Source organism: Homo sapiens, chromosome 11 (genome assembly GCF_000001405.40).
Source record: "Homo sapiens chromosome 11, GRCh38.p14 Primary Assembly".
Lineage (NCBI taxonomy): Eukaryota > Metazoa > Chordata > Mammalia > Primates > Hominidae > Homo > Homo sapiens.
The window spans coordinates 69,552,457-69,571,273 of NC_000011.10; the positions used below are offsets into that span (position 1 = coordinate 69,552,457).

At 48.6% G+C, this 18,817-nt stretch overlaps 7 annotated features.

Moving 5' to 3' along the window:
• Positions 3,288-3,432: an enhancer, noted in NCBI's record as "145 bp 11:69370584 sequence used in MPRA reporter constructs". NCBI's record gives its function as "activates a minimal TATA-containing promoter with rs2001780 allelic activity by MPRAs in UACC903 melanoma cells {active_cell/tissue: UACC903}" and the evidence as "EXISTENCE:reporter gene assay evidence [ECO:0000049][PMID:36423637]".
• Position 3,360: a transcriptional cis regulatory region, noted in NCBI's record as "rs2001780 or 11:69370584 MPRA-significant variant associated with a GWAS melanoma risk locus at 11q13.3". NCBI's record gives its function as "allelic transcriptional activity by MPRAs in UACC903 melanoma cells {active_cell/tissue: UACC903}" and the evidence as "EXISTENCE:reporter gene assay evidence [ECO:0000049][PMID:36423637]".
• Positions 4,346-4,490: an enhancer, noted in NCBI's record as "145 bp 11:69371642 sequence used in MPRA reporter constructs". NCBI's record gives its function as "activates a minimal TATA-containing promoter with rs2001671 allelic activity by MPRAs in C283T melanocytes {active_cell/tissue: C283T}" and the evidence as "EXISTENCE:reporter gene assay evidence [ECO:0000049][PMID:36423637]".
• Position 4,418: a transcriptional cis regulatory region, noted in NCBI's record as "rs2001671 or 11:69371642 MPRA-significant variant associated with a GWAS melanoma risk locus at 11q13.3". NCBI's record gives its function as "allelic transcriptional activity by MPRAs in C283T melanocytes {active_cell/tissue: C283T}" and the evidence as "EXISTENCE:reporter gene assay evidence [ECO:0000049][PMID:36423637]".
• Positions 8,097-8,241: an enhancer, noted in NCBI's record as "145 bp 11:69375393 sequence used in MPRA reporter constructs". NCBI's record gives its function as "activates a minimal TATA-containing promoter with rs7928898 allelic activity by MPRAs in C283T melanocytes {active_cell/tissue: C283T}" and the evidence as "EXISTENCE:reporter gene assay evidence [ECO:0000049][PMID:36423637]".
• Position 8,169: a transcriptional cis regulatory region, noted in NCBI's record as "rs7928898 or 11:69375393 MPRA-significant variant associated with a GWAS melanoma risk locus at 11q13.3". NCBI's record gives its function as "allelic transcriptional activity by MPRAs in C283T melanocytes {active_cell/tissue: C283T}" and the evidence as "EXISTENCE:reporter gene assay evidence [ECO:0000049][PMID:36423637]".
• Positions 15,645-15,939: an enhancer, noted in NCBI's record as "tiled region #10534; HepG2 Activating DNase matched - State 5:Enh". NCBI's record gives its function as "activates a minimal TATA promoter and a strong SV40 promoter by Sharpr-MPRA in HepG2 cells {active_cell/tissue: HepG2}" and the evidence as "EXISTENCE:reporter gene assay evidence [ECO:0000049][PMID:27701403]".

Here is an 18,817-nt window from a genome sequence, read left to right on the forward strand (position 1 = left end):
ACTGCGGCATCAGGGGTTTCAGGCCTAGGATTTGGGGTATGGGGTGTGTCAGGCCTAGGATTTGGGGCATCGTGGGTTTCAGGCCTAGGATTTAGGGCATCGGGGATTTCAGGCCTAGGATTTGGGGCATCGGGGATTTCAGGCCTAGGATTTGGGGCATCGGGGATTTCAGGCCTAGGATTTGGGGCATCGGGGATTTCAGGCCTAGGATTTGGGGTATCGGGGGTTTCAGGCCTAGGATTTGGGGTATCGGGTGTTTCAGGCCTAGGATTTGGGGCATCAGGGATTTCAGGCCTAGGATTTGGGGCATTGGGGATTTCAGGCCTAGGATTTGGGGTATCGGGGATTTCAGACCTAGGATTTGGGGTATCGGGTGTTTCAGGCCTAGGATTTGGGGCATCAGGGATTTCAGGCCTAGGATTCGGGGTATCAGGGGTTTCAGACCTAGGATTTGGGGCATCAGGGATTTCAGGCCTAGGATTTGGGGTATCGGGTGTTTCAGGCCTAGGATTTGGGGTATCGGGTGTTTCAGGCCTAGGATTTGCTTCCTGTCAAGGTACATGTGTCTGGGAGCTGGGGATGCTTCACCTTCGTGCCTGGCTCCTGGGAACATCACCAGATCCTGGTCTGTCTGTCTGGGACAGTGCACACTTTCCCAGCCCACAGGCGAAGTTGATGCTCCTGGGAGCACTTCCACTCCCCGACAAGTCTCTTCCTGTGTCGTGGTTGCTTACTTATCGTTGTCTCACCCTAGAAGGCAAGCGCCCAAGGCCAGGGCTGAGTTTTTCTTGTTCAGAGCTGTGTCCCCAGCATTCCTGTCCACAGATGTTTGTTGAATGACTGAATGAATGTATAGGAATCAGAAGCATTGGGAGGGAGCAAAGGCCAGAGTTTTGCTAGAAAGTCTGAGGGTGCTGGCCCTAGAAATCCCCAAGGTCCCTCCCTCATGTCCTACGTCGTGGCTACCCTTAAGTCTGACATGCCCTGGGCCATGGCTTCCAATGTCAGGAAGAGGCCAGCCAGGTCCCAGCCATGTCTCCGGCCTTGACCTTGGGCTAGTCCTCTGTATGCCAGGTCCAGACCCTCTGCTTAAGTCCAAGTAGGTGAAGGTGAAGTCAGTCTTTCCGCTACCTGGCTCCAGCCCTTGGCCAGGCCCAGCCCCAGGTAGACCTTCCCCAGACACCTCTTCCTCTGTCAAAGCTCTGGAGAAACTTGCTGGGGCTCTGCCACCAGGCCCCTCCCCACCACCAGGCCCTGCCCTCCCAGGGTCCACCCCCTGGGTCTTACTTTGAGGCCTCCCTGTTTCAGATGGTCCCCTGCTGTGAAGTCCTGTCTTGGCCAAAAAGGGTGCATGTGGCAGGGTGATTAAGCCGTGGGGCCTGGTTATGGATGTGGAGTGGGGGTGCCTGTGCTGGGGCCGGAACACAGCAGCCACGTTCCTCCACACACGCACACAGCAGTAGCTGAGGTTGGCCCCATGCTGTCACGGGTGTTCTCACCTGTGCCTCTCCATAGTCGGGAAGCAGGAAAGTGAGGGTCATCCCGCAGTTCTAGATGAGGAGCCCAATGTGATGGGACTGCAAGTGGAGGAGCGGGACCTAGAGCCCAGGCTCCCGTTTCCCTGCCCAGGGCCCTCCCAGGGGCGCAACCTCTATGCACTGCTGTGTTGCTACCACCTCACTGCAGGAGCCAGAGGAGTGAGGACAGCCCCTTTGTGCCAACACTATGAATGAATGTATGGGAATCATAAGAAGATGACCAGGCCGTGTTGGAGCCAGGGGCCACATTGCCCCGCTTGAGTGTCCATCCACTGGCCCCTGACTCCTTTCCCCACCATGCCCCCAGCTGTTGCCAGCCCCACTCCCACCTGGGAAAGCAAGATTTGTGCAGGCCCCTCATTCCCCCGGCTCCTGCCTGGCCAGAGCCCACCACTGCACCACAGGATAAACATACATGCTGCGAAGGGAGACTTTGTGTGTGTCTCATGAGGCTCAACAACGGTGATGACCCCCGAGAAGATGCAATAAAAAGGACAACCTAGCCGGGTGCGGTGGCCCACGCCTGTAATCCCAGCACTTTGGGAGGCCGAGGTGGGCGGATCAAGAGGTCAGGAGATCGAGACCATCCTGGCTAACACGGTGAAACCCTGTCTCTACTAAAAATACAAAAAATTAGCTGGGTGTGGTGGTGGGCGCCTGTAGTCCCAGCTACTTGGGAGGCTGGGGCAGGAGAATGGCGTGAACCCGGGAGGTGGAGGTTGCAGTGAGCAGAGATAGCACCACTGCAGTCCGCCCTGGGCGAAAGAGCAAGACTCCGTCTCTCAAAAAAAAAAAAAAAAAAAAAAAAAAAAGACAACCTAATTTTGAAATTGGCAGAGGAATTGAACAGACATTTCTCCAAAGGAGCTATACAAATGGCCAAAGAGCCCATGAAAAGATGGCCAACAATGCTCCGTGCATCTTACAAACAAACCTTTTTAAAACCCAGCTAGGAAGTTCAGGGTCAAATCTGGAATTTCACACTGGCAACATTAGCTCAGGGAAGTGGTGGGGCAGCCCTCAGGCAGCTGAGCCATGCAGGAATGAGTATCCCGTGAAACATCAGCTGTCAAAGGCCCAGCCGACCCAGGAGGGTCACACTGCTTCCGCCTCAGTGCCGCCCTACCCTGGGCAGCTTCAGGATTCCAGAGGGGTCATGTGCTCTGAGGAGTGACCCTAAATGTGGCAGAGGGATCTAGTGACCGCCCAAAGCAAGCAGGACAGATCCCTGGAGTGCCAGCCCCTTTCCATGGGTGAAAGGTGATTCTGGTCTGCTGTTCTGGGTCCGAGGAAGGGCTGAAAAATGGGAGCAGAGGACCGTTCGAGCCCCTTCCCTGTCCCCAGATCCTCCTTCAGGGCTGCCAGTTGTTCTGTGCTCGTTCCATACATGCCTGCGGGGTCTGTCTCTGAATTTCCTGCATGACACGGTCAATCCAGGGGATAGTAAAAGGAAGGCAGAAGGTTTGCCCTGAATACTGGAAAAGAGTTCAAAAGTGTGTTAGTCTAGCATTTCTCTGGGGATATTTTGTAGATAGCCCACTTTTTTTTTTTTTTTTTTTTTGAGACAGAGTCTCGCTCTGTTGCTCAGGCTGGAGTGCAGTGGCGCGATCTCGGTTCACCACAACCTCCGCCTCCCAGGTTCAAGCAATTCTCCTGTCTCAGCCTCCGGAGTAACTGGGATTACAGGCGCCCGCCACCACGCTCAGCTAATTTTTGTATTTTAGTAGAGACAGGGTTTCACCATGTTGGCCAGGCTGGCCTGGAACTCCTGACCTCAAGCGATCCGCCCTCCTCGGCCTCCCAAAGTGCTGGGATTACAGGTGTGAGCCACTGCGCCCGGCCGATATCCCACTTTGCTGAAGGCTTTTGTGATCTAATATATTTGGAAAATACTAATGCCATTTTTTTTAAAGAAGGCTTTTTGTTGTTGTTGTTTCAAGTCTACACAGATCCCTGAATATGCAAAACTGCCCTGGATTTTTCCAAGAGAAAAATTTGCACCGTTTCACAAACTCACTTTTTGGAGGGACTTTGTCTCAGTGAACCATGAGGTATCAGTGTTCCATGAAATATACATGAGGGAATCCCAATCTAGCCCTGTTCCTTCATCTTGCAGACGGGGAGACCAAGGCAAGAGGGAGTGGTAGACAGCTGATTAAGGCCACACAGAGAACCAGGATGAGGGCCCTGGTCCCCAGGTGGCTGTCTCTCAGTTCCTTCCCCTGTTCTTACATCATTTGCTGGGCTAGTGCAAAATGAAAATGCAAGATCCCTTGTTCAAACCCTAGTAAGAATTTCAAGATGGTGATCGCAGGGCATTGCAGCAGGTGCAGGCCCGTCTAGGCACGCTGGGCTCGCCTGTGCAGCCGGCTCTGCTCCCTCAGCAGCCCAGAAGGGCCCTAGAGGACACTCCCCTGAGCACAAACCCAAACACCCCAGCTCTGCTCCTCACTAGCCCAGCCACCTGGGATACAGCACTCAGTCTCTCTGAGCCTCAGTTTCCACTTCCTGAAAGTGGGGTTGTAATGTCACCTGTTTCACTGCTGTGGAGGAGTGGTTGCACAACATTGCAAACAGAAATCAGGGCCGGGAATGGTGGCTCACACCTGGAATCCCAGCACTTTCGGAGGCTGAGGCGGGTGGATCACCTGAGGTCAGGAGTTCGAGACCAGCCTGGCCCACATGGCAAAACCAGTCTGTACTAAAAGTACAAAAAATAGCTGGGCATGGTGGTGCATGCCTGTAATTCCAGCTACTCAGGAGGCTGAGACAAGAGAATTTCTTGAACCCAGGAGGCGGAAGTTGCAGCGAGCTGAGATCACTGCGCTCCAGCCTGGGCGACAGAACAAGACTCTATCTCAAAAAAAAAAAAAAAAAAAGAGAGAGAAATCATTTCCAGTCTTATTCAAAATTTAAAAAGATCCAAGCCTGTGCCTAGAGGGGGCTAGGCCTGCCCACTTCTTGGACCCTAGAGCCTCGAAATCCCCTCCGCCTTTGGCCTGGGGTCTTTGTTCAGTTGTATTGCTATAAAGGAATACTTGAGGCTGGGTAATTGCTAAGAAAAGAGGTTCATTTGGCTCATGGTTCTGCAGGCTGTACAGGAATCATGGTGCTGGCATCTGCTTCTGGTGAGGCCTCAGGAAGCTTCCACTCACCTTGGCAGAAGGCAATGGGAAGCTGGCGAGAGAGGAAGGAAGAGAGAGCAGAGGGCCCAGATCTTCAACCATCAGTTCTCACACAAACTAATAGTGAGAACTCACTCATTACCAGGAGAACGCACCAAGTCATTCATGAAGGATTCGCCTCCATGACCCAAACAACTCCCACCAGGACCCTCCTCCAAGCTTGGGGGTCTAATTCCAACATGGGATTTGGAGAAGACATGGGAACTGTACCCAAAACATGGCAGCTGGATGCTTCTGAACACACTGACGGTGGCTGCTACCAAGAGGGAGAGCGAAGTCACAACAATACCGGCCTGCAGGTTCACCTCCCCATACCAGGCACTTTACAGCACCATTTCCAATTCCCGGGAAACAGGGCCACAAACATAGGAGGCAAGACTCCATTCCAGGTCCGTCTGCTCTGAGGCCTCCATTCCCTCCTCTATATGGGGGGTTTAGTTTCCCACCTTACTTAAAGCCTGTCTGCACTAAGTAAACTCAGTGAGAAAGGCAGGGTGCCCAGTGCCTGGGTACAGCAAAGGCTAAATGCATTTGGCAGTTATTGCTAGTATCATTTTTTGTTTTGTTTTGCTTTTTATGAGATAGACTCTTGTTCTGTCACCCAGGCTGGCGTTCAGTGGCACGATCTTGGCTCAGTGCAACCTCTGCCTCCTGGGCTCAAGCTGTTCTCCTGCCTCAGCCTCCCGAATAGCTGGGATTACAGGCGCATGCCACCACACCTGGCTAATTTTTGTATTTTTAGTAGAAATGGGGTTTCTCCATGTTGGCCAGGCTGGTCTAGAACTCCTGACCTCAAGTGATCCACCTGCCGCGGCCTCCCAAAGTTCTGGGATTATAGGCGTCAGCCACCACGCCCAATCTGTATCATTATTCGGTGATTATTTTGGGTGCGGTTTGGGACTTGCAGCATAATATAATTTTTCTCATTGATTTTTACATGTATCACAGCACCACTGCTTTCCCACCATAACCTTGGGCAAGTCCCCTCACCCCTCTCTGCCTCAGTTTCCCGTCTGTGAAATGTCCCTAATGCAAGCCCCCATCCCAGAGGGCTGCTGAGCTGATTAAATCAGCTACTACATGGAAAACTCCCAGGAGAGCGTTCGGCAGAAAGAAGATGTTTTGATAAATGTTGGCTATTCTTAGTATCTACACCATGTAAAGTAAGCTTACGAGTCTAACTGGGCAGCGGTCTTAGCTTGTTCATTCACTCTGTGCCAGTGTAACTCATTCCCTAGGCCTCCTTAAGGACAAACCAGGCACGCTTGGATGCGTTAGTCTGAGATCCTTTGGCCACCTGTCTCCTGTGGGGTCCAGGAAAGGGCCCCATATGAACCAGCTGCATCTGGTGGATAGAGGCACCCCAAACACTGCTTTCACCACTGTCATCGAGCGCTTTCTTGTTTGGTCTCGTAGGTTCAGTGGAAATCTCTGACTTTTTCCTCCCACATTCTGCTCCTTGCCTATGTCTTAGAAATAACAACCCATTCTCAAACTAGAAAGAAGCTAAGGCCACGTGGGCCTTTTCTTGTTGTTTCACGTGGGTGAAACAACACCCCGAACCCAACAAAGCGCTCTCTTTTCTTTCTCTGATTTTCCTTCCGCTCCCACAGCCTCTCCCACCACCACATCTGTCGGTTATCTGTCACATCACATCCTGTAAGTATGAGGATGCTTTTTGATCTACCGGTTACATGATAAGAATAAAGACTTTCCTAAAGCGACTTTATGTGGTGCCGTTAAAAGAACACAAACCTAGGCTCACACATAATGCCACATCTGGGAAATGACGGCTCTGGGGTTTCTCTGCCTCCCGGGTCCCTCTCAGATCAGCCCTGGATGCTGAGCGTCAGGGGTTGTGGGGGCGAGGGGAAGGGATGGGGAATGTGCCTATTTCTATGAAAAATTGAGTAAAAGAAGACTCAGTTCTCCAGTGCTGCAATGAAGTGTGCAAATGCCAGCCTCGGCCAGCAGACCTCCATCCGTGTACCTAAAGGCTTATTTTAAGTAGCTGTGTCTGGTCAAAAAGGGTTCACCTGGTCAGGAAGTGGTCACAGGCTTTTTAGGAGGGCCAAGCCAACACATAAAGGGAAGATAGAGGCACACATAGCAGCCTCAGAGCCCCGGCTCTTTGTCATTCCTGGGTCCAAGGCGAGGACCCTTCACTGGAGAAAGAGCCCTGGGGCTGAAGGGGCCTTGGAATCTGCAGCTGAGATGGGCCAGACAGATAGCCCTGGGTTCCCACAAAGGAAGTTCCTGCTCAATAAGGCTCTCCCAGCGACTCATATGCTGTTCTCAGAGGTCCTGCCCCACACTCCCCTAAAATGGGCAAAAAGAGGCCATGCACCCATAAAGAGATCCTGCGTTTTCCTGTTTTCTCTTCAAATGCTCTTGCTCTGCGTTTTTTCTCTCTTTTATTCAGATGATAATCACATATGACATAAAATTTACCATTTTAAAGTGAAAAATTACTGTCTAGTCCCAAACCATTTTATCACCCTCTCCAGAAACATCCATTCATTAGCAATCACACACCCTACCCCCAGCCTGGAGGCCACCAATCTACTCTCCGTCTCCATAGATTGGCCTGGTCTGGACATTTCAGAGAAATAGGATTGTACAATATGTGGTCTTTTGTGTCTAACTTTTCTTTCTTTATTTATTTTTTGAGACATGTCATGCTCTGTTGCCCAGGCTGGAGTGCAGTGTCGTGATCTCTGCTCACTGCAGCCTCTGCCTCCCAAGTTCAAGCAATTCTCCTGCCTCGGCCTCCCTAGTAGCTGGGATTACAGGTGTGTGCCACCACACCCAGCTAAGTTTTGTATTTTTTGTAGAGATGGGGTTTCACCATGTTGCCCAGGCTGGTATCGAACTCCTGAGCTCAAGTGATTTGCCTACCTTAGCCTCCCAAAGTGCTAGGATTACAGGCATGAGCCACCATGCCTGGCCTAAAAAATGTATATCTTAATTTTAAAATATTGCCAAAAAGTGCTAACAATCACCTGAACGCTCAGCGGGTTGTCATCTTTTTGCTGGTGGAAGGTCTTGCCTCGATGTTGATGGCTGCTGGCTGATCAGGGTGGTGGTTGCTGAAGGCTGGGGTGGCTGTGGCAATTTGTAAAAATAAGATAACAATGAAGTTGGCTACCTTGATGATTGACTCTTCCTTTCAGGAAAGATTTTTCTGTAGAATGCAATGCTGTTAGACAGCATTTTAGCCACAGTGGAAATTCTTTCAAAATTGGAGTCTGCTCCAATTTTATCCACTCAATTTATCCACTCAATTTATGGAATATTCTAAATCCTGTGTTGTCATTTCAACAGTGGGCATAGACTTTTCACTAGGAGTAAATTCCATCTCGATAAATCACTTTCTCTGCTCACCCACAAGAAGCAACTCCTCACTCATTCAAATTTTCTCATAAGATTGCAGGAACCCAGTCCCTTCTTCAGGCTCCACCTCTAATTCTAATTCTCACTATATCCACCACATCTGCAGTGACTTCCTCCACTGAAGCCTTGAAATCCTCAAAGTCAACAATGAGGGTTGGAATCAAACTTCTAAACTCCTGCTAGTATTGATGTTTTCACCTTCTCTCATGAATCATGAGTGTTCTTAATGGCATCTGGAATGATGAATCCTTTCCAGAAGGTTTTTAATTTACTTTGCCCAGATCCATCAGAGGAATCGCTATCTAAGGCAGCAATAGTCCTGTGAGACACATTAGATGTTTCTTAAATAATAAGATTTGAAAGTTGAAATGACTCCTTTATCTGTGGGCTACAGGATGGATGTTATGCTTTCCGGTATGATTACATTAATGTCAACATTATCTCCTTGCACGTCTCTACCAGAGCACATGATTCAATGACCAGGTGCATTGTCAATGAACAGTAATATTTTGAATGGAATATTTTTTCTGAGCAGTAAGTTCTCAACAGTAGCCTTAAAATATTCAGCAAACCATGTTGTAAACAGATATGCTGTCATCCAGGCTTTGTTATTCCATTTATAGAGCATAGGCAGAGTAGATTTAGCATAATTGTTACGGGTCCTAGAATTTTTAGAATGGCAAGTGAGTGTAGGATTCAATTTAAAGTCATCAGCTGCATTAGCCTCTAACAAGAGTGTAAGCCTGTCCTTTGAAGCTTTGACTTCTCCTTCTCTAGCTGTGAAAGTCCTCGATGCCATCTTCTACTAGAAAGCTGTTTTGTCTACATTGAAAACCTGATCTTTAGTGTAGCCACCTTCATCAATGGTCTCAGCTAGATCATCTGGATAACTTGCTGCAGCTTCTCCGTCAGCACTTGCTGCTTCACCTTGCACTTCTATTTTATGGAAATGGCTTCTTTCCTTAACCTCATGTACAACCTCCGCTAGTTTCCTTCTTTTTTTCTGCAGCTTCCTCACATCTCTCAGCCTTCATAGAATTGAAAGCTGGGTGTGGTGGCTCGCGCCTGTAATCCCAGCACTTTGGGAGGCCAAGGTGGGTGGATTGCTTGAACTCAGGAGTTCAAGACCAGCATGGGCAACATGGTGAAACATCATCTCTACAAAAAACACAAAAATTAGCCAAGTGTGGTGGCACAAGGCTGCCACCACTCCTGGGAGGCTGAGGTGGGAGGATCACTTGAGTCTGGGAGGCAGAGGTTGCAGTGAGTCAAGATCAAGCCACTGTGTTGCCACTGTTACTCCAGCCTGGGTAACAGAGCCAGACTCTATCTCAAAAAATAATGATAATAAATTAAAATAAATTAAATTTAAAAAAAGAAGAATTGAAGAGAGTTAGGGTCTTGCCTTGGGTTAGGCTTTGGCTTAAGGGAATGTTGTGCCTGGTTTGATCTATCCAGAACACTCAAACATTCTCCAGATCAGCAATAAGGCTGGTCCACTTTCTTATCATTCATGTGTCCACTGCAGAAGCACTTTTAATTTCCTTCAAGAACTTCTCCTTTGCATTCACAACTTGGCTAACTGGTGTAAGAGGCCTCGTTTTCTGCCTAGCTCAGCTTTCAACCTGCCTTCCCCTCCAAGTTTTATCATTTCTAAACTTTGATTTAAAGTGAGAGGTACACAACTCTTCCTTTCGCCTGAACACTTACAGGCCATGATAAGTTTCAAATATCACGATAATTTCCAAAATGTGACACGGATATACAAAGTGAGCACATGCTGTTGGGAAAATTGCACCAATAGACTTGCTGTACTCAGAGTGGCAAACCTTCAATTTATACGAAACACAACATCTGTGAAGCACAATAAAGTGAAGTACAATAAAATGAGGTATGCTTGTATCAGTGTCTCATTTCTTTTTCATGGCTGAATAATATTCCATCCTATGGACAGAACACATTTTGTTGATCTGCTCATCCACTGGTGGACGTTTGTGCTGTTCCCACCTTTTGGCTGCTGTAAACAGTGCTGCTGTGGACATTTGTGTACATGTGTTATTTCAACACCAGTTTTAAGCTCTTTCAGGCATATACCTAGGAGTGGAACTGCTGGTCACATGGTCATTCCATGTTTTGCTCTGCTATGTTTTTGTTTTTTCCTCTTTTGGCTCCATTTTCCCAAAACCTCAAGATGTTTCTTCCTCAGTGAGGTATCTTGACATGCACTCATTGGGGTCTAGTTGCATTATTTAGACCTCTTTGGGGATCCACCTATACCCTGAGGATGCTGGAGCTACTATTCCTAAAAAGGAAACCCCAGTTCCCCTCCCGGGTCAAGGGCAGGGCTGTGGCCGGTGGGGGGGCCCTTTGTACCTTTCAGTGCTGTTGCCTCTTGGATTCTGTGCCTTTGCTGTCAGGGGTCAGGTCGGGGCTGGGGAGGGTCTCCCTTCTCGCAGGACCCACTGCCTTCATGGATCATGACCCAGGACAGTCACCAGTGCCACCCATTCAGGGTCTGTTGCTGTGGTCCCTCTGAGTCAAGAGCCTCTGGAGTCACTGGGAACCTCCCAGCCAAATCAAGACTGCCCCTGCATCCTCTGGGGGCCTTGTCCACATGCTGACTTTGTTACCCAGGACATGAAGAGAACTCGGAACATCCAAAGACCTAGAGTCCATGGGCCTAACCATACTTTTTCTCCAAAGAATGGGACCTGTGCTGACAAAGGAGCCCAGTTACAAAGGGAAAGAAATGGGGGGCCAGGCGTGACCCCTGAAAGGCCTCTGTGTCATCATGGCAGCTCCCAGGATTGCAGAGGAGGGAAGCAAATGAAACTTCATCCTCAATGTCTATCTCCTGACACACCAGCCATGGCCCTGGGATTTGAAATGCAAAGGAGGTTCCGGAGTAGTGAGGCTGGGATCTGGGTGTTTGGAGCAGGGACCTGGCTGGGAGTTTGGGCAAAGGCCCGCCCCATATTGCAATGGCCAGAGGGACCAACAAGAGGGGAGCAGCAATTGATAAATAAGTTAGCAAATGCAAAAAGCCCAACAGTCACCTTCATCTGTAGCAAATATTTACGACCCTTTGCTCTGTGCAAGATGCTGTGCTAAGAACTCCACCTACATTGTATGGTTGAATTCCCTCAACAGCCCAGGAGGCACATATATTATTATCCCTATTCTAGAGATGGAGAAACTGAGACTCGAAGAGGTCAAAGTTCTTGCCCAAGGCCACATGGAGCCCAAATGCTTATCCACCAGGCCATGCCGCAGCCCATGGTCCAAAGTGCCCATAAGAACTCTGCCATCATTCACTGTTTGATGATCATTCAACCACTGGACAAACCCAGCTCGGTCTTTTGAAGGGCTGATCGGTATCACAGACTATGGCAAAAATAGAAATAAGTAGAATATAAAAAGAATAGATTTCTCAGCGTTCCTTAAATTGTCATTAAAGATTAGAGGGCTCCTAGGAAATGGGGCACATGAAGATGGTGTCCTGAGGCCACCCTTTCCGGAAGTCTGTGGTGGGGCCCTTGTGGCAGGGAGAGACGAGCACCCACGTTATTTGTCAAGTACCCAGAGCCTGGAGTGCGAGGTCCACCCTCACCTCTCAGGGAGTGCAGCCTGAGAAGTCCCTCATCCTGTCTAAGCCAGTGCTTCCTTCTCTGTAAAAAGGAGGTAGTACTCATCATAAGTTGCACTGTGGCCCCTAAAAGCTATGTCCACATCCTGACCCCTGGTACCTGCAATGTGACCTTATTTGGAAAAAAGACCTTTGCAGTGAAGTGAAGGCTCTTAAGAGATGAGATCATCCAGGCTTAACAGGGTGGGCCCTAAATCCCCCGACAAGTGTCCTAGGAAGAGGAAAAACGAGGGGGAGGCCATGTGAAGAGGAGGCAGAAGTGAGAGTCATGAGTCCACAAGCCACAGAATGCCAGGAATTGTCGCCAGCCACAAGAAGTCAGGAGAGAGGCCTGGAGGAGATTCCTTCCTGGAGCTTCCAGTAGGAACCCTCCCTGCAGACACCTTAATTTCAGGTTTCTGGGCAGCAGAACTGTGAAAGAAGAAATTCCTGCAGCTTTAAGCCTGCAGGCTTGTGGTCATCTGTTAGGACAGCCCCAGGACACTCACAGCCACCCAGGACTCAAATGTGCACCTCATACAGTGCAGACTCACGTCGGAGCAGGTGTAGACTCATGTTGGAGCATGTGGTCCACCTGCCCTGGTAGGCTATTGACTGTCTCTACCCAAAACCTTCCAAATGTGCAGGTCTTCCCTTTGATTTAGAACTTCCCCCTCTAGGAATTTATCCTAAGGAAATGAGCAGACGGATGTGCAAAGATGCATGTACAAGATCACATGGTGGGATTATTTAAAATAGAAAAAAGGGGAAAATGGCTCCAATACACTGGTTAAATATGTTTGGATATATCTATTTCGGGGAAAACTATGAATCCATGTAAAGTGATCAAGTAGATGGATTTTTTTGACATGCAGAGATGTTCATTTTACATATATATATATATATATATATATATATATATATATATATATATATATATTTGTTGTTGTTGAGACGGAGTTTCATTCTTGTTGCCCAGGCCGGAGTGCAATGATGCAATCTTGGCTCACTGCAACCTCCACTTCCCAGGTTCTAGTGACTCTCCTGCCTCAGCCTCCTGAGTAGATGGGATTACAGACACTCGCCACCATGCCCAGCTATTTCTTTTATTTTTTGTATTTTTAGTAGAGATAGGGTTTCACCATGTTGGTCAGGCTGGTCTTGAACTCCTGACCTCAGGAGATCCACCTGCCTCAGCCTCCCAAAATGCTGGGATTACAGGGCATGAGCCACTACGCCCAGCCCATTGTATATTATTAAGTAAATACATGATTCCAATTATTTGACTTTTGGGAAAATGCAAAACCACAGAGACAATTACTAGATCACTGGCTGCCAGAGACTGGGGGTTAGAAGGGATGATGAGGTGGACGGAGCACAGGGGATTTTTAGGGCAGTGAACCAATTCTGTGTGATACTATAAAGGTGGATACAGCACATTATGCTCCAAACCCATAGAATGCACAGCACCAGCACCAGGAATAAAACTTAATGTGAACTATGGACTTTAGTTAATAATAATCTATCAATACCGGTTCACTAATTGAAACAAATGTACCGCACCAATACATGATGTTAATAATGGGGGGAACTGTGTGCTTCAGAGGGAGTTATATAGGAGCACTCTGTACTATCTGTTTAGCTTTTTTTGTGTGTGAATCTAAAAATGTTCTAGACCCCTGAAACACAAGCAACAAAAGCAAAAATAAAAAAATAAATAAACAAAGGACCTAGACGGACACTTCTCAAAAAAATGACATACAAATGGCCAACAGATATATAGAAAAATGATCATCATTACTGATAACCAGGGAAACGCACATTAAAATCACAATGAGATACCACCCTACACCTGTTAGAACCGCAATTATCAGAAAGACGAAAGATAACAAGTGCTGGTGAGGAGGTGAAGAAAAGGGAAGCCTTATGCACAGTGCTAATGTAAATTAGCACAGTCAGTTTAGAAAGCTGTATGGCAGTTCCTCAAACAACTGAAAACAGAACAAGCATGTGATCCACAATCCCACTTCTGGGTAGATACTCATGGGAACTGAAATCAGTATGTTGAAGAGGTGTTTGCACTGCCATGTTCATTGCAGCACTATTCACAACAGCTAAGATACAGCAGCAACCTAGATGTTCATCATCAGATGAACAGATAAAGACACTGTGATACACATACACCATGGAATACTACACATCCTTTTAAAAGGAAGGAAATCCTGACATTTGTGACAACGTGGATGAACCAGGAGGACGTTATGCTGAGTGAAATAAGCCAGGCACACAAAGACAAGTACAAATACAACATGACCTCACTTATATGTGGAATCTAAAAAAGTTGAACTCAGCCGGGAGTGGTGGCTCACGCCTGTAATCCCAGCACTTTGGGAGGTTGGGAGGCTGAGGCTGGCGGATCATGAGGTCAGGAGTTTGAGACCTGCCTGGTCAACATCTTGAAACTCTGTCTCTACTAAAACTACAAAAATTTGCCGGATGTGGTGGTGGGCACCTGTAATCCCAACTACTTGGGAGGCTGAGGCAGGAGAATCGCTTGAACCCAGGAGGCAGAGGTTGCAGTGAGCTGAGATTGCGCCGCTGCGCTTCAGCCTGGGTGACAGAGCAAGACTCCATCTTGAGGGGAAAAAAAAAACAAAGTTGAACTCATAGAAGCAGAAGGTAGAATGATGAGTACCAGAGGCTGGGGGCCGATGGGGCATAGATGAGGCAAAAAGGTGTTGATCAAAGGCCATACAGTTTTCGTTAGACAGGAGGAGTAAGCTTTAGGGATCAATTACGTAGACTGGGGACTATAATAACTAATCATGCACTGGATATTCCAAAACTACCAAAAGAGTTGATTTTAAATGTTTTCATCACAAAGAAAAGTAGTAAGTATATGAGGTTATGAATTTGTTAATTAGCCTGATTTAATCATTCCACCCTGTAAACATATCAAAACATCACATTGTACCCCATAAATATATCTGCAATGATTATGTCAATTAAAAATAAAATTTTAAGAAATAAAATGTTCTAAAATAAAGACTATTAATTTTTAAAAAATAATACATCTTACAAAAAAATGCATATTGAATTATCTCACTTTTTAAAGGAAATATGTATCTTTCTGCATAGAACCTGGACTCCAAGCCCCCATGTAAAGGCAGCCCATCTCTGTGTGCTGTGATTCCAGTTGGCTGTCCTTCTGCTCACTTTATTTTCTGATCTTTTGAGACAAACAAGGGCTACTTGGGTAGTAATTTTGTGTTGATTGACTTTGTAAAATGTTTGAATTTTTTTTTTTTTTTGAGACAGAGTTTTGCTCTTGTTGCCCAGGCTGGAGCGCAGTGGCGCAATCCTGGCTCACTGCAACCTCCACCTCCCAGGTTCAAGTGATTCTCCTGCCTCAGCCTCCCAAGTAGCTGAGATTACAGGCATGCACCACCACACCTGGCTAATTTTGTATTGTTTTAGTAGACACAGGGTTTCACCATGTTGGTTAGACTGGTCTTGAACTCCTGACCCCAAGTGATCCGCCTGCCTTGGCCTCCCAAAGTGCTGGGATTACAGGTGTGAGCCATTGCGCCTGGCCAAATGTTTGAAGTTTTATAAGTTTATCCAATGCATGCATGCATAAAATTTGAAGAATCAAATATTCTGACTGGTGAAAGTTCTTGAGAGCAGGAAGGACAGCGGCCACACACCTGGCCCTTAGGGTAGGACTTGCACCCTGGAGACTGGAGACCCCAGACCCGGTGTTGTGGTCCCAGACTGAGCTGTTTCCAGCTGCAGCGCCCCTATCCGTGGCCCCAGGCTGCCCAAGGGTTTGTGCAGCTCTTGGAAATGTCAGGAATGTCCACCCGTACTTGCAACCTGTGGGTCATGCAGCTGGTATTTCCTCAGCCCTTCCTCGAGGGCCCCTCCATGCCCTCCGATTGCAACCCCAGCCCTGGAGGTGGCTGGCATGTCCTCCTGGCAGACTTTGCCCATCACATAACCACCCTCGCTTGGCCATCATGGGCTACACCTGGTCACGTCACGAAATACTCCACACAAAGAGGTCTCAGTGCAGGGAACAGGCCCCACTTGTTCAGACAGACAAACTCAGTGAGGACAGTGGGGTCAACAGTTTCAGCGGCTGAAACTGTTTCCGGCTGGGTCTTCTAGTGCCCAACATCAAAGGTGCCTGCAGAGCAACTCACATTGGCTAAGAGCAAACAAAGAACTCAGACTCGAGAAAGGGGGATTTCATCCAAGCACTATAGACTGGTGTGTGTGTGCACTGTGTATGGAAACCTGTGTTTGTGTGTGTGTGCACTGCATGTGGAAACCTGTGTGTGTGTGTACACTGCGTATGGAAATCCGTGTGCGTGTACTGCATACGGAAACCTGTGTTTGTGTGTGCACTGCATATGGAAACCTGTGTTTGTGTGTGTGTGCACCGCATATGGAAACCTGTGTTTGTGTGTGTGTGCACCGCATATGGAAACCTGTGTTTGTGTGTGTGTGCACTGCATGTGGAAACCTGTGTTTGTGTGTGTGTGCACTGCATATGGAAACCTGTGTGTGTGTGCCCTGAGTATGGAAACCTGTGTGTGTGTGTGCACTGCATATAGAAACCTGTTTTGTGTGTGTGTGCACTGCATGTGGCAACCTGTGTGTGTGTGCACTGCGTATGGAAACCTGTGTGTGCACTGCATGTGGAAACCTGTCTGTGTGTGTGCACTGTGTATGGAAACCTGTGTGTGTGTGTTCACTGCGTATGGAAATCTCTGTGTGTGTGTGTGTGTGTGCACTGCGTATGGAAATCTGTGTGTGTGTGTGTGTGTGCACTGCGTGTGGAAACCTGTGTGTGTGTGCACTGTGTATGGAAACCTCTGTGTGTGTGTGCACACTTCATATGGAAACCTGTGTGTGTGTGTGCACTGCATGTGGAAAACTGTGTGTGTGTGTCTGTGTGTGTGTAATTGCTTTATTTTGAAAACTATTTCTGGGATATTTTTCATGCTCCATGGTGTGGCTATCCCCACTTCTCCCCGCTGCAGAGAGGACAAAACAAAGATGGACGCATGGAAGAACACCTCATAAACTATTGTAGTCACATAAAACTTAATACACCATTCCCTCTGATTCTTCAAAGCAGTGGTTCTAACTGGGGGGTGGTTTCGCCCTCCAGGGGATCTTCAGCTGTATCTGGAGATGTTTTTGGTTGTCCCAATCTTGTGGTTAGGTTGACACTGGCATCCAGCGGTGGGGAAGCCAGGAGGCTGCAGAGCCCCCCAGCCCCGCCAGGCACTGGACCGTCCCCTCTACCAAGAATCATCAGCCCCAAATGCCAGCAGTGTGCATGCTGAAAAACCCGTTTCTGAGACTTCGTGATCCCAGCTTCTGTGGTCCTAGGGTTAGCGTTTATTTTTGCTGTTAGTTTTCAATAAGGCCCTGAGCGCCACACACACAGGCTCCCTGTGGGCGCAAATGTGCACCTTCCCCACTCTCCTGTGGCCTTGGGAGCCAGTTCTGGGCAAAGCCAAGGAAGTAGCCACCCTTCGGTGGGGCTCCCAGGAAAAGGAAGGCACCACTGGCTTAGCCTGTAACCCCTGTCTCTGTCCCCTTCTTCTTGCCTGGGCAGGGACGGGTTATGGGCATTGTCTTGGAACCCTGAGGACACGCTGATGTGGAAATGGCTTTGAACACCATCCACAGGCCAACAGCTCTCACCTCGCACCTCCCTCCTAGCCCTCCCTTCCCACATGCCAGTTGGCGTCTCCCCATATACGATCCACGGACAGGCCTCCCGATCCTCCCCTGCAAATCTGCTTCGCCCACACCCTCCTCTGACCCATCTGGCGGCAGCTTCTGCACATGCACCAGGATTGTTGAATTCACGGTCTACTGGTCTACTCCTCCCCTTGAGTAGGGCTCAGGGCCCCCAGTGGAGGCAGGCTGGAAGATACGGCCCCTCTGTAATGCCCTTGCTGTGACAACCTGCTCCAATGTCCCAGAGAGTCTTTTCCAGCCCTTCTTGGGGGCCCTGGGCTTTGGGCTTGCCTCCTGCCTTTTGGAGGGATGTGAGAGAGCAGGGGCTGCCAGGAAGTCACGTCTTACATTCCTGCTGTGGGTTAGGGGATGCTGTAGGACAGGACGGAGGGCCAGGTCCAGGCCTAGGCAGGACCGTGGCCATCTATCCATCTATCTCCTGCTCTCAGAGGGGATGCCTGGGGCAGGATCCTGGTCAACCTATCAGTACAGAGATAGCCAGAGAATTCTGACTCTCCTCGCCTGCCTCATCTCCCCTTGCCAGACTCTAAGGACAGTTGCCCAGGACTCCAGAGCTGAGTAGCTGGAGATAAGCACGTGGTCCTGCCAGCTCCTAGTTTAAAGTGCTGCTTCTCTTTAATTCAGGGGCATCTGCACCTCAGGAAACCCACCTGTGTGCATTCTCTCATTCCTGGGGGGATCCCATCCTCACTTCCCACCAACCGCCCACTCAAAAAACACCTTTTCAGCCTTTTTTCCAGTTACTGCTAATGCCCAAGGGGCACTCCCAGTGGGCACCCCCAGAGGCTGTGTGTTTTCCATTTCCTCCACTGGGCTCTCAACGATCCCATTTCACATGTGCCTGTGGGAAGTGGGAGTTTCTGTGGCAATATCGTGATGACTAGACCCCAGTTCCCTATGAGAATCAGTCCACTGTCACGGAGTTCGGTGGCCTTGAAGCCAAAGAATTGGTCAAAACCCAACAGAGTATCTACTCTCATGTCCCGAGGCCCTGTGACTAGTGGACCAGGAGAATTTGCAACCTTTAAACCAGCTCAGCTGAGATCCCGGTGAAGGTGCAAATTACTTACAAAAGCAATGCTCTTGGGGATTCCTGGGTTTGGTCATCGGGATCCACAGGTTCATGGGGCTGCAACTTAGACAGTTGGGTTTCCCAGACCCCTCCTGATCCTCAGTGCAAAATGTGCTCCTTGGATAGCAAATGTGCTTTTTCAATCTGACTTAGCAAGCTTAAGGATTATTCTGTAGTCAGCCTCCAACAGCCACAGCCAGGCTTATTTTGCAAAGTTGGGCCA